This window comes from Homo sapiens, chromosome 17 (genome assembly GCF_000001405.40).
Source record: "Homo sapiens chromosome 17, GRCh38.p14 Primary Assembly".
Taxonomy (NCBI): Eukaryota; Metazoa; Chordata; class Mammalia; order Primates; family Hominidae; genus Homo; species Homo sapiens.
The window spans coordinates 36,678,817-36,692,830 of NC_000017.11; the positions used below are offsets into that span (position 1 = coordinate 36,678,817).

The window sequence follows — 14,014 nt, forward strand, 5'->3', positions numbered from 1 at the left end:
ACCTCAGGAGATGCACCCGCCTTGGCCTCCCGAAGTGCTGGGATTACGGGCATGAGCCACCGCACCTGGCCTGAAAAAACATTTATTGAACCCCTCTCTTGTGCCAAGGCACTGTGCCCAGGCCACGGAAGTTACAAGGAACACTTGTTGGGTGCCACCTCTGTGTTCTAAAGGATGCACAACCATCTGTAACCTGCACAAACCACCCTGTGAGAGAGATGTGACAATCACTCCCATGTTACAGATGAAGAAGACGCAGCTTTGAGCCCAGAGGTAACTAGCTGAAGGTCACGTGGGAAGACGGTCAACCAGCTGCAGTGCAAACGCACCTGCTTCTGCCTCCAAACCCCTTCCTGTGCCTTCCATGCTGTCACTTGCTGGTGATTCCACAGGGCGCTCCTGGGATCTCATGTGTATTGTCATATCTGCAAATGAGCAACCGAGATCCCCAGAGGTTAAATTCCTGGTCCAATGCCCTTCCACTGGCAGGTGGCCACATCCCCTCCAAACTCAGTTTCCTCTGACCCCAGAACCCCGGCTCCCTCCTGCCTCAGTGACACCCTCCCACCATGGGACACGATGCCTTTGGGTCCTACTCTCTGTTTTCCTGTTTCCTTTGAGACCCTCTGTGCCCCTTGAATGAGGTCTTGATCATCAGGGACTCTGCCAGCTGGGGAGCTTTGTAAGGTGTAGTCACCCTGGGAGAGTCCTTGCTTGGGCCCACAGTCTTGGGGACTGAGGTCTGTGCAGTGACAATAAGGAGTCACAATCCTCCGGCACATTGTCCAACCGTGGCCTTTTCCTCTGACACGTAAACTCTCATTGAACCCATTTCACAGGTGAAACAGCTGATGCCTGAGTTGGGCCCTTTCCCTTTCATCAAGGGGCTGGAGCAGCTGAGACCAAGTCCCTGACATGGCCCCCTGGGCCTGGCTGGCTCTGTCTCTAGTAGAATAAGAGGTGAGATCAGGGACAGAGAAAGAGGGAGCAGGAAGCAGAGCTCAAAAGCAGAGCTGGCCTCAGGGTTGCAGAGCCTATGTGTGTTTGCAGGGTCTGGCGCAGGGAACAGAGAGATGGATTGGTGCTTCTGGTCCCCATCCCTCGGCTCCCAGAGACAGGCTGGGGTTCACCCTGAAGTGCTGGATCCTAATGGATGTCCCGCTGTGGGCCTGAGCTGGCCGCTGATCAGCTTCCTGCCGCACTTTGCTACCTTCCCAGTAGGACTGTCACTAGGCCCAGGGGTGATGGAACAGCTGAGGGACAAACTGGGGACCCGGCAGCAGAAAGGGGAGCAGTAAATCTCAGGGCTTTCAGCACTGCCAGTTGGTGGAGCGGTGTTAGAACCCCTCTGGCCTTATACAACCAAGTGCTTATTTTCCCCAGAGGGAAGCGGGTGGTGGGGAAGGAATAGAGGGGAAGAGACAGAAGGACAGGAAACTCACTAGAGAAGACAGAGACAGAGCAGGGAGTGGAGGAAGGAGCCCAGGGAGACAGGCTGAGTCTGAAGTTGCAGATCCTGACCGGGCTGCTCTGGAGTGGCAGCCAGCCTCAAGGGCCTCCATTTCCATGGGGGAAGAATTTGGACTCTGCTTCATGGGGAGCAGGCCTCTGTCTCTTTTGGGGATGGAGAGGGGGCAGTTAGAGCTTCCCCAGGCCAGGGGCCCTCCCCTTCTCCCACCCCACATCCAGGGAGTCTCATGCTTCACCCCAGCCCCTCTACTCTCTGACTCCTGACCTGGGAGAAGCTGCTGGTTCCTGGAACACGATTCCCAGGTCAGTGAACTGCCAGGCTTCAGCCTTAGAAGGAATCATGCCTCTGTCTCACAGATGGGGAAACCGAGGTGCTGGCAGGGGCTTTGGCTCAGATTTGTGTAGATGAGGCTGGGCTCCTCTCCTTCTGCCACAGTGCAATGAACAGTGGCACAGCCCTAGCCCACTGATGCCAAATCCTGGCCGGTTTTTGGTTTTCTGATTAATCCTGGGAGGAGGGGAGACAGACCCAGGCCCCCTTTTCACTCCCAGCACCAGATAGATGATTCTCTGGGGAGAAGTGAGGCTTAGAGGCAACGAGGGAGCGGGGGAAGGGCAGGAAGCATCTATCAGGGGCCTCATGGGGGTGGGTATTTTATATCTGCTGTTCTTTTGACTCATTACCATCTGTGGGGCAGAAATTATGACTCTGATTTTACACGTGAGGAAAGCCAGACTCAGGTTAATTAAATTGTCTAGGGTCACTCAGCTGGTGAGTGGAGGAAACCAGGATTCGAATCCAGGTCTGGCCCCAAAGTCTGGGCTCTTTCCAAACTGCCATGTGCATGGGGTGATGGATGGACATGGAAGGAGAGCGGCTGTCATGCTCTGTTCCCCCAACCCCTCAAAGTAGGCTGGAGAGAGGAGCACAGGCAGCCGGTGAGGAGATTGTGGGGCTCACTGGGACGGGATGGGCAGACACTGCTTGTTGTCAGACCTGGCGAATCTTGCCTGGAATCTTGGCTTTGCCACTCTGCATCTGCGTGGCGCCAGGCAAGTCCCTTCTCTTCTCTTTGCATAATAAAGCAAGCGGCTTCGAGGTGTCTCCCTGATGTTTCATGAGTGAATGAATGAAAAACAAATGAAGGTGTCAGGAGGAAGCACACCTATTCTTTTTTTTTTTTTTTGAGACGGAGTCTTGCTCTGTCACCCAGGCTGGAGTGCAGTGGCGTGATCTCAGCTCACTGCAAGCTCCGCCTCCTGGGTTCACGCCATTCTCCTGCCTCAACCTCCCAAGTAGCTGGGACTACAGGCGCCCACCACCACGCCTGGCTAATTTTTTGTATTTTTAGTAGAGACGGGGTTTCACCATGTTAGCCAGGATGGTCTCGATCTCCTGACCTTGTGATCCGCCCACCTCAGCCTCCCAAAGTGCTGGGATTACAGGCGTGAGCCACCGCGCCCGGCCAGAAGCCCACCTATTCTAACTAGAGTCAAAGGCTGGAGTGCCAACGGTGCCTCAGGACAGGTCCTGCGGAGATGAGCCCCTGAACCTCTGCTTCTCTCAACCCACTTAAATGAAGCCCCAGTCTTCCCCAGACACCACGTGGAGGCCGAGAAACCCACTGATAGATGGTGGGTGGGGGTGGACATACTGGTGGCCCCAGTTGGCTTCCTGTCACACCAGGGCATCCCCTCCCATATGAAGTCACCGTGAGATCTCTCTATCCCAGCTAGGTTAGTTGCTCTTAATTAAACCAATTGTTGGACTTAATACCCATCCCATTAACATGTCTCCCAGATCTATTAATTATGACCAGTGGAGGAAGGGCACAGGAGCTTTGGGTGGGGATGCAGGGGTTTGAAAACCAAGCCAATCTGCCTCACAGAGAAGAGAAGGGGCAAGTTCATTCCTGGATATGAGGGCAATCTGGCTGCAACATTTGTCACCCCGTTGATCACCAGGATTGATTTGGGTGATCTGGCTGGCTAGGCGGGTGTCCCCGTCCTCCCTCACTGCTCCATGTGTGTCCCTGCTGAAGCTGCACACTTGGAGAGGATGACCTTCCCTGATAGAGGAGGACTGTTCTTTGGTCAAGGGTATACCAGGAGCTCGACTCGCCTGCTGGAACCTCCGAACAACCTCTCAGGTTCACTCCTTGTTTCCTCCTGGGAGTCTTGGAAACATTCATTACAGCCTCAGAATTCCTGGAAGCCTGCTGTGTCTGCATCCCATGGGGTCTAACTGAGGCCCTCTGGCCACCATGACCCTTGGGACCCCTTTCCCATTTAGCTTTCTCAGAGCCACTGGGGCAGGGACAGGGGAGGTGGAGGTGACTGTCATTGGTGCAAGGTAGGGGCCAAGAACTCATCCGTGGGGTCAGAACGGAGGCTGAGTGGGAATGAGGATTACAGATGGAGAGCTGGAGTTACCCCAGCTCCACCCACACACCTGTGTTCAGAATGTTCCCTCTGCAGCTCTTTGGGACCAGGTAGGGCTCCCTAAATCCCTCTGTACTCTGATCAGGCCTTCCTGGATGGTGGGTGGACTTAGAGGCAGATGCTGGACCTACGCAGGGATGCTCAGACTATTAGTAGGCCCTCCCCTTGTGCCTTCTCCTTCCTCCTTCCCTCCCAACTGGGCCCTCCCCGCTGCCCCCAGTGTCAGGGGCCAGCCAGGGCAGGAAGGGAACTAGGGTGGGGCCCTCAGAGGTGCATAAATCATTATTGGCGAAGACCTCAGCCCTGAGCCGCCGGGTGGAGGCTGCTGCTCATGGTTCAGGCCAGGGCATAAATCATAATTCCCCTACAATAGATCCTTTTTCAGCCGCCATCAGGAAAACTGTGTTGGTTTTATCGATTTTTTGACACAGGGGCCTAGGCAGCGGGCGGCTCCTGAATCATTATGAAATGAAACTGATTAGGAATTCATGGAATACTAAATAAACTTTACGAGCCCGTTGTAAGTTTTTTGATGCATGGGGAGCGGAAAATGAAAACTAATGATATAAAAATTACACAGCGTGCTGAGTATTATTATACTGCTATTGATTTGCTTCAAACTGTACATCAAAATCGAAGAGGGCTGGGGCAGTGCCTGCAGCGAGGCTGGGGATATTTGGGCTCACCAGGGCTGGAGGGCTTTTTTTTTTTCCCTTTTCTATTTTTATTTATTTATTTTCTTTCTCTTTCCTCCAGCCTCCTGCTCTGTAATCTGACATCCTTTTCCCCACCTCTTCCAGCGAAGGCCCCGGGGAGCCGCCTCTTCATCCACTCACAGGTCACTCCCTTCTTAGCTGGAACCTGGACCCTGGCTCAACTTGAATTCCTTGGCCTCCCACTGGTTTCTCTCTGGAGCTGCATTTTTCAACCTGTGAGTCTCTCTTTCCCCTTCCACCTCCCCACCGTTTCTCTGGGGAAGGACAGTGTGCTTCAGGGAAATGAGGTGGAGATTCATTTCTTGTGTAGCCCCTTGCTGTGTGACCTTTGGCATGTTGCTGTGCCTCTCTGGACATTGTTGTGGATAGCAAAAACAGTGGACTCATTAGATCAGGGCCTCTTAAAGCATGGTCTGTGGACAGGCCACTGTCGTCTTCACAGCTTGTCAAAAATACCAATTCCTGGGCCTCATCCTTAGATGAACTGACTTCATTCTCAGAAGGGGGAATCTGGGGCCAGTTGCGGTGGCTCACGCCTGTAATCCCAGCACTTTGGGAGGCTGAGGTGGGTGGGTCACCTGAGGTCAGGAGCTCAAGACCAGCCTGGCCAACAGGTGAATCCCTGTCTCTATTAAAAATACAAAAATTAGCCAGGCATGATGGCTCACGCCTGTAGTCTGAGCTACTGGGGAGGCTGAGAGAGGAGAATCGCTTGAACCCAGGAGGCAGAAGTTGCAGTGAGCCGAGATTGTGCCACTGCATTCCAGCCTGGGTGACAGAGTGAGACTCCATTTCAAGGAAAAAAAAAAAAAGAAGAAGGGGGAATCTGTTTTATAAGTTCCCACGGGACTCCCGTGCACTGCAAATGCTGATCTGAAGAGACACATCTGAGCCACTTATCCCATTGGGTTGTCAGAGGTGGCCTTAAAGCTGTGAGTATTGCCTTCTATATTAGTCAGCTTTTGCTAGTTTATGGTGTAGTAATGAACAATCCCAAAATCTCAATGGCTTATAGCAACATAAGTTTTTTTTTTTTTGTTCATCATACATATCTGCTGCAGGTTGTTTGTGACTCTGTTCCATGTGTCTTCATTCTGGGGCTCGGGCTGAAAAAGCAGCTTCAATCTGGTGGCAGAGGGGAAGAGCAAGAAAGATGGTGGAAACGTGAGGTCCAAAGGCCTTAGCTTGGGCATGGTCTATGTCCCTCCTGTTCCTATTCCATTTGCTGAAAGGAGTCTTATCGCCAAGTCCAACAGTAGGATGGGAAGTACAATTCTCCCACAAGGATGGGTACCAGGGAGAGGCCCTGTAGGGATGGGTTGGGAGAGAAGGGAGTGGATTTTTTAACACGTCATACCACACCCTTCTGGGCTTGGTCTTGGGTCCAAGCTGCCCTGGAATTTGGAGTTCGGGGTCTTGTACTTCCACTCGACACATCCCTGTGTCTCCATAGCAACTGTTTACTGACCCCTTCCTCTACTCCCTCTGAGACCCTGGCCATCCTCCTGGGGTCTTCAGTGGGCAAAGCTTCGGCCCTCTGGCTCGAAGCGTCTCTGTTTCTTGCATTTCTGCCTGCATGCTGGGGAGGCCTGGAAACACTCACCCTGGTTCCTCAATAGAACTGCTGTGACAATTAGAATTCTTTTGTCAAACTGTTCTTTATCTAAATTCAGAGAGTAAATTTAGATTTTGCGTATTGGATTTTCTTAAAGTGGAATGCGTTCGGTAGCTTTCTTTTTAGCAAGTGTTTTACTTTTTCACAAGAGATGGTTCACACCAGTTATGTCTTTTGCTGGTATTCTTTTTTTATCAGATTCAATTTCACATCAGCCTGAGTCCCAGAAAGGTTGATGTCTTCCCCTGGACACACAGCATGGCATTCCCAGAGCCATGTTGCTGCCCAGATCTGGACATGCCAGGGCAGCCTCCTCTGGAAGCCCATTTACGCTTGAAGTCCAGGGACCACTTGTGGGGGACCCACTTGCTCTTACTGGGGTCTGGGAGATGTCAGGGACGTCAGTGGCACAAGCTTGACCCAAGGGGACTTCAGTATCTCTCTGAGGACATAGAAACACACTCACACTGACACTCACATACTCTGCATACAAATCTTTTCAGAACCAGACAAAGTGGATAACACAATGATCCAGAAGGGAAGCAGAGTGCAAGTCTTAAGGTTTGAGTTCAAATTTCAGTCCTGCCCCTAACTGGCTGTGTGGTCTTGCATAAGCTACTTCTTTTATCTGGGACTCCATTTTCTTCCACCGTCAAAGATGAATTTAAACTCAATCTACCTGGGATTGGAGTGGGCAGGGGTGAACACACTGGCACAATTCCCACCAGATGTTGAGGCCTATACAGTCCTAACTCTTTTCAGTTTGGAGAAAGATGCTGATGGAAACCCAAACTCAAACTGGCTTAAGCCAAAAGGAGAAGTTATTGAAGGGGCTCTAAGTCACATCTGGAACTTTGGAGACAGCTGAGATAAAGCCCAAAGCTGGGGGTGAGGGACCACATGTCAGGGGAGCTTGGAGACAGCCATGTAGCCTCGAGGCTGCCCTAGGCGAAGGGAAAGAGTGTCCACTCCACTGTCGGCATCCCATTTCTGCAAAAGCCTGGCTGGTGAAGTTTCAACCAGGTGACCCATGAGCAAAACTGGTTTCTGAAGGTACAGACGTGGGTTCACAGCCAGTTCCACCCTTTCGCAGCTGTGTGACCATGAGCCAGTCCCCCACTGTTTCTGAGCAGAGTTTCTGAGGGTCGAGTGTGAAAATGTAAGTGCTGGCTCCACCCCGGCTTCCAGAGAGCGCTCAGGCAAGACTCACATGCCCTGGGGCTAGAACCTACCCTGGCATGCAAAGCTTATCCCCTGAACCAACATGTTGGCTTGTGTCTTCCCCTCTAGTCTTTGATCAAGGGCAGGGCCACGTCATATTTGCGGTTGTTCCCAGTCTTGGCACTGTGCCTGCTGCGTGGCCGTATAATCCACGAATGGCTGTGGAATGGAGCTACAGGGAGCGGCAGATGGGATCCTTCACACAGCATGTCTGCCCACGTAGGACCTGAACATAGCTGGGCCCCTTCAGCCTCTGTCCTACCCCTGCGCCCACCCTATAGCCATGCAGCACACACACGGCCAGTTCCCAACGTGTGGGTGAACATTGCGGGTTTCACTGAAGTTTTTCTGGGAAACCAGGGGAGCAGATGGCATCATACAGCACACTCCAGCCTAATCACAGCAGCCCTGGGTTTCTCCCTTCTCTCCTTCGTCATCTCTCTTCCAGGCAGTGCTCTTCCCCTCCTCTCCAATCCCAGTTTCTTTAACAAAACCAAATCCTCATTTTACATCCCCAATGAAGCAAAACAAAGCCGGATAGGACACAGACCACAGGGCTCCTGCTCCACCGGTATCTCATTCAACCTCCTTTATCCCCATCTTTTTATTATGGCCAACCATTTTATCCTCACGCAGGCCTCTGTGCCCTGCACACACAACAGCTTCCTCAAGCTGCCCTCCATGTGGGTGCTGTGAGGCTCCGAGAGGAGACAGGACTTGCCCCATGCCACCCAGCCCCTGGGCAGGGCTCCTCCCTGCCTTGCCCCCAGAGGGCCTAGGTTAGGTCCCCTCCCCAAGCCCATTTGTCCCTGTGGTTGGGCATGGGGCAGGATGACACCTGGCTGGCTGATTCTCCTCGTAGTTTAGGGTGCTACACACACTGAATTCAGATGTGGCTCTGAGCAGGCCGTTCATTCATTCCTGACCGTATTGACTACAGAATTGAGTGCTACAAGCAAGGAGTTTAGCTCTTATTCTCCTACTGATTTGATTTAATGTTTGGTTTATTCCTGTCCCTTTCTCCCCCGCTCTCCTCATCAGTTTGACATTTGCATAGTGTTTCCCTGCAGTTTTGTCGAACACCCATGGGGGTTTTGCTGGCAACTCCCTGCTTTGGCTTGAATGGTTTTCTTTGGGGGAGTTTTGAACTCACTGAGGCATCTTCTTCCTCCCTCACCCTGGAGTTTGTGTTCTTCCTCCTACTGGGGAGAGGGCTACATAAATAATGAGACTTCCCTGGCTCTCGCCACCCGCTGCCTGAGCCTGTGGGATTCCTGTTGCCATGTGGCCTTCAATTATTCCCAAGTGTCCCGGGTGGGTGGGGGCCTCAGGTGCCCATGAATAAGTCTGCCCCTGCAGGTGGGTAACCTCAGCCTGCCCACCAAGCACCTCTGCCAACGGTTTGGAATCCTGAGGTGCTGGCGCTGCTCAGCCGTGAAGCTTAGAGGCACCCCTGGCAGGCTGTCCAGGCCTCAGGGCTTGCGGACACCTGGTTGTCTTAGTGTGATGTCCCCCAGAATCAGACCTGTTATAAGGATTCAAGGGAGGTGGTTTATTTGGGAGTTGAAAGAAAGTCCAGGAAGGAATGGGAAGTGAGACCGGGAAGGTTACCACTGTGAGTTGTTGAGCTCAATCCTGCCCCAGTTCTCCAGGTTACTCAACATGCCTGAACCCCCCGGGGTGAGAGAGGATCAAGTTAGGACCCCTCCTCCTATTATAAGGCTGCTGAGCCAACAGAGGCAGGGCTCGGTGGGGACAGGGAGAGAAATCTGCAGATTCCTGAGTCCTGACTCCTGCACCTGGACCTCTTTCTCCAGCTTGCTCTAGAGTGGAGCTAGAACCGGTGGGATGAGGTTTCAGGGTGCAGCTAGATGCTGGAGAGGAAGCCTGCACACAGGCAAATGCACCAACAGAACTGGCAGGAGATGGTCCAGTGATTAAAGTGATCAGGCAGAGGTTGAATCATTGCCTGTCCAGGGACGCTGTAGGCAGAAGGCAGGGAGCTAGCCAATATTAAACACCTTCTGTGTAGCAGTCCTGGATATTTGGAACTAGAATTCAAGCTCCTTAAGAACTGGGGCCCACATTTTATTTACTTTTTTTTTTTTTTTTTTGAGGTGGAGTCTCGCTCTCTCACCCAGGCTGGAGTGCAGTGGCACAATCTTGGCTCACTGCAACCTCTGCCTTCCAGGTTCAAGTGATTCTCCTGCCTCAGCCTCCCAAGTAGCTGGGATTACAGGCACGCACCACCACGCCCTGCTAATTTTTGTATTTTTAGTAGAAACGAGATTTTGCCATGTTGGCCAGGCTGGTCTTGAACTCCTGACCTCAAATGATCTGTCCGCCTCGGCTTCCCAAAGTGCTGGGATTACAGGCGTGAGCCACCATGCCCGGCCTGTTTACCTTTGGATTCTCAGCGCCTAGCACTGTGCTTGGCTCCTGGTTGTAAAACCTAAAATAACAGGAAAAATAGCCACCATTGACAGCCACCTACTGTATTTTTTGTAAAGAATCCTGACAACAATTGCTCATGGCAGGTACTATAATCTCCACTTTACAGATGAGAAAACTGAGGTTCGGTGGGGTTGAATGACTTGCCCCCGGTCATACACTTCCTAAGCAGCAAAGCCAGGGTTGGGACTCAGGTTTGTCTGCCTTCCCGGATCCCTGATTTTTCTCCTCCTTGTGGCATGTCACTGCATCGGGACGGTGGTTGCACTACGGATGTCCCTGGAAGGCCCTCTTGATTCTGAGGTTCTGTCTTATTAGCTGCACCTCCCTCCACCCCCGGCCAACCGCAAAGAAAAGGAAAAGTCCTTTCCTCCTCCTCAGGTGGCTCGTGGTGGATTACTTAGCGCTTGACACGGCGTGTCTCTGTGTCACTGTTCCTGGGCGGAATTAAATCAGGGCAGGAAAATATTAATTTGGAGTTGGGGATGGAGGCCGCTCCTTTCCAATTATTCTCCACCCCATCAGGCTTATCCTGGCGCAAACAAGGAAGGAGGCTGGATTAATTGCTTTGGACTCTGCCCCACTCCGGTCCCAATTACTGGGCCGGCTTGGCTCCCAGCATTATGAAGCACACTGCTGTGCAGGAAATTGTGTGAAATTTTAACGGATTTTCAGATGCAATAATGGAGCACAGGATTCAAGGCCAGTATTCATGGGGCAGCCGGGCCCTCTATGCCTCGGCTGAGGTTAAGCTGTTTGGGGTTTCTTTGTATATTAAAGGATCATCTGGTTAACCCCAAAACCCAGGGCCGCCAGAACTGTTCAGACTCTGACCCCACAGAGGCAGGGTGGGCTCCTGGAGTGCAAGGAAACCCACTGCCTTCATGATAATAACAACACCATTTTTTGAGCCTCCGCAACGTCCCAGGTACTTACCCCAAACATCTTTAAGCCTGAGCCTTTGAAGTTCTTCTTATTTTTATCCCCCTATCTTATAAGGGAAGAAAAGGGGACTCAAAGAGGTTAAGTGATTTGCATAAGGTTTTCTGGCCACACCGCGGTGAAGCCAAAATTGGAACCCAGGTCTGTCTCCAAAGCGACCCTATTTTCTATATCACTCTGCCTCCTCCCTCATCTTCTATTTCTTCTTCTTAAGGATGCATTATCACAAATGTGGCTTCCCTACCACACCGGATATCTAGAGTAGAGTCCTTTCTTGTTCTGTCTCTGCATCTTCAGCCACTATCAGGGTACCCAGCACCAACAGGGGCCCAGGAGAAGTTTGTTGAACTGCAGTCAACCTGACCCAGTTGGGCATGACCCAGCCCCTGGACTCCAGGATTTATAAATGGAATGAGGGGGTGGGCTACTGCAACCCACAGACATCTCTGGGTCCTTGAGGTGAACCCCATTTGAGCCATATGGAACCGACAGAGAGGGTGAGGAGGGGGATCACGTCCCCAGCCTAACTGTGTAACAGGGGCTGTCCGGATGCTCCCCATATATCGTCTCTGTCAATCTTCACCATGACCCTAAGAGATGGCCAGTTATTAGGAAGTAGGTGTCTAAGAGGGGAAATCTGTCCTATTGTCAAAGGCAAGAGGTAGCTGGTGGCTTGGTCAGCAGTGGGGACTTTGATCTCTGCATGGCCAGCTCTGGAGGCTCTATGGCATTGTAAAAATGCATTGAGAGAATCCCATAAAATCTGCCCAGCAGAGGCAGCGGCTGGAGAGGAGGCAATAACCATGGAATATGGAGTGGAGTGGCCAGTGATAACGGAATATGAGAACCCCTGCCTTGGGGGCTAGGCATGACTGGGACACATTAGGCTGCTAGGGATGTATCTGGGGAGAGTGGTTGGATTTGCATTCTGGCCTCACTTTAACAACTGGAAGAAAATTCCTTGGAGGGAATTACAGTATGGCTTCTTGGCCCCCACCTTGAGGCATGACACGGGGGGTCTATGAAGGCTGCAGAGGAGCAGGAGGATAGGGATAGAGCTGGCAAGAGGGGTGACTGACTTGGGGGAGGGGGCAGTGAGAGGGAGTTTGGGGAAGTGAGTGCTATGTAGCTCACGAATTTTAGACTCTGGTGGGGCCACTACATGGAAAGAGAACCAGGTGTTCATGGTGGGCCCAAAGACAAGGACACTGGAGGCAATGAGGGCGGAGGAATGCAGGTGAGGCGCACAGTGACCATCATTAGCTGTCCAGTTCCTACCCGCCCCTTTCAGCAAAAGGAGAATTAATTATGTGCAGGGGATGCCCCCTTAATGGCCATCGTTTAGTTTAATTTAAGAAACAGATCCCTCCTCACACCCCCCTCGGTCAGCAGCACCACCATTGGCAGCTGCATTGATTAATGGCCTCCTCTTGGATACAGGGGAGCAGTGGTTCTGAAACTGGAGCGCGCCTGAGAAACGCCTCAAGGATTCCTTTACACACGGATTGCAAGAATCCATCCCTGGGTGGTGTCTGATAATTTGGATTTCTGACAGGTTCCCAGGTGATCTTGATGCTAGTGGTTCCGGGAACACACTTTGGAAATCACTGTAGTAGAGACAGGATTTCCTGTAGTCTCCCCACCCTCTGGACTCGGGAACTCTGCCCTTCACTGCCCCCTGTCTCAAGGGTCCTCTAATCCAATAGGGGCGGGCATAGCCATCTCTGCCACTTTACTACCCACAAGTGCACTCATCTCTCCAATGGTGTGTAAGACATGTGCATTCTCTGAGCATCATGGTGATCCCACCCCTGGGCATTTCTATTCCAAAGAGAGATGGATAAGTGCCAAGGACCCAATTCCTGGACCCCTCTGTCTAGATGCAGTCCCTCCTGAACTGGATCCTGGGGGACCCACCCGGTGCACCCTCAGCACCAAGCCAACCCAGAGGTGTCCCAGGAGGCTGGTCCCCTATTCTGCAGGGCCTCTGCTCCTATGCACCAGGTGAGAGAGGTCAGACAGCTAGCATCTCTGGCAGCCTGGTAGTTGCAGGAGGGGGCCCACAATTACAGACCTAATTGTGTGACCACAGGCAGGTCCCGCCCCCCATTGATTTGGAGCTGGCACTGCGGGCTTTGCCAGGGCTACCATCCAGAGAGCCTGTTTGCACCTGTGTCAAGGCGAGCTCAGGAAACCTAATTAGCTAGTTTGGTGTTTTATAATTAGGTCCTTTAAAAGAATTCATAGGTGGTGATAATAAGCCCATTTAGAAATCTATTAAGCTTTGGGGGAAGTTGAATAGAAACCTTGTAACTATGTGCACACTTGCTTTCTCTTTCCCCTCAGTGTCTCCTTTCTCCACTTTTTTCTCTTCTCTCGAGTCCTTCCTCCTGCTCTCTTTCCCACTCTGTATCGCTGGAGTTACTGACTCCTGCACCCATGCTAAATGCAATCCTCTTTTATTGCTTAGGAAGTCTTGCACACATACTGAAGCATTTAATCCTCCTCACAACCGTCAGAGGTGAGTACTTTCCTGATACCCACTTTATAGATGAGGAAACTGGAGTGCAAAGAGGTCAAGACACCCCTCTGAAGCGACATGTCCTTAAGTCGCTGAGCCAGAAATGGAACCTGGTCAGTCTGGCCTTACCCTCTCAGCAAAACTCACTTTGCTCAGCCTACATTGCCCTACTCACCCACAGCCCAGTGCTCCTGGCTCCAGTGCTCCTACCAAGCTGGCTGAGTTGACATTTTACACATCAAATTCCTGTTTTCTCAGAGACCTTGTGCCAGGGCTTCAGCGCTAACTTCAGATGGGTCTGTAATGAACAATGGCTTCTAATAAGTTTTGCTTCTCTGGCAACTCTTCCCACCTGGATTTCTGACAAGGTAGTATGGTAGAAGAGCAGGCTGGATGCTCCCCTCCCTCTCTTCCTCCTTCCTCCCACCCTTCCCCCCACTCCCTCCCTCTCTGAACTGGGGCTGAGAAGCCACAGATGAAGTCAATCAGCTTCTAACTGAAGGGCTCAGGGGATCCCCAGATGCTTCCAGATCTACATTAGGGACCCTAGCCCTCTCTTATCACCCCGTTTATTTCCTTCTAAGCACTTATAACATGACATTCTCTCAAAGATTTGTTCACTTATTCATTCACTTG

At 51.8% G+C, this 14,014-nt stretch overlaps 1 long non-coding RNA gene across 2 annotated transcripts in view; it reads left to right on the forward strand.

The window, feature by feature from the left end:
- Positions 1–14,014, forward strand: part of LOC105371750 (uncharacterized) — a 115,553-nt gene that overhangs the window by 20,923 nt on the left and 80,616 nt on the right. For both annotated transcript variants that reach the window (XR_007065730.1, XR_002958156.2), the window contains exon 2: positions 4,669–4,843. This is a non-coding gene — a long non-coding RNA (uncharacterized LOC105371750). The remainder of the gene's footprint in view (positions 1–4,668; positions 4,844–14,014) is intronic.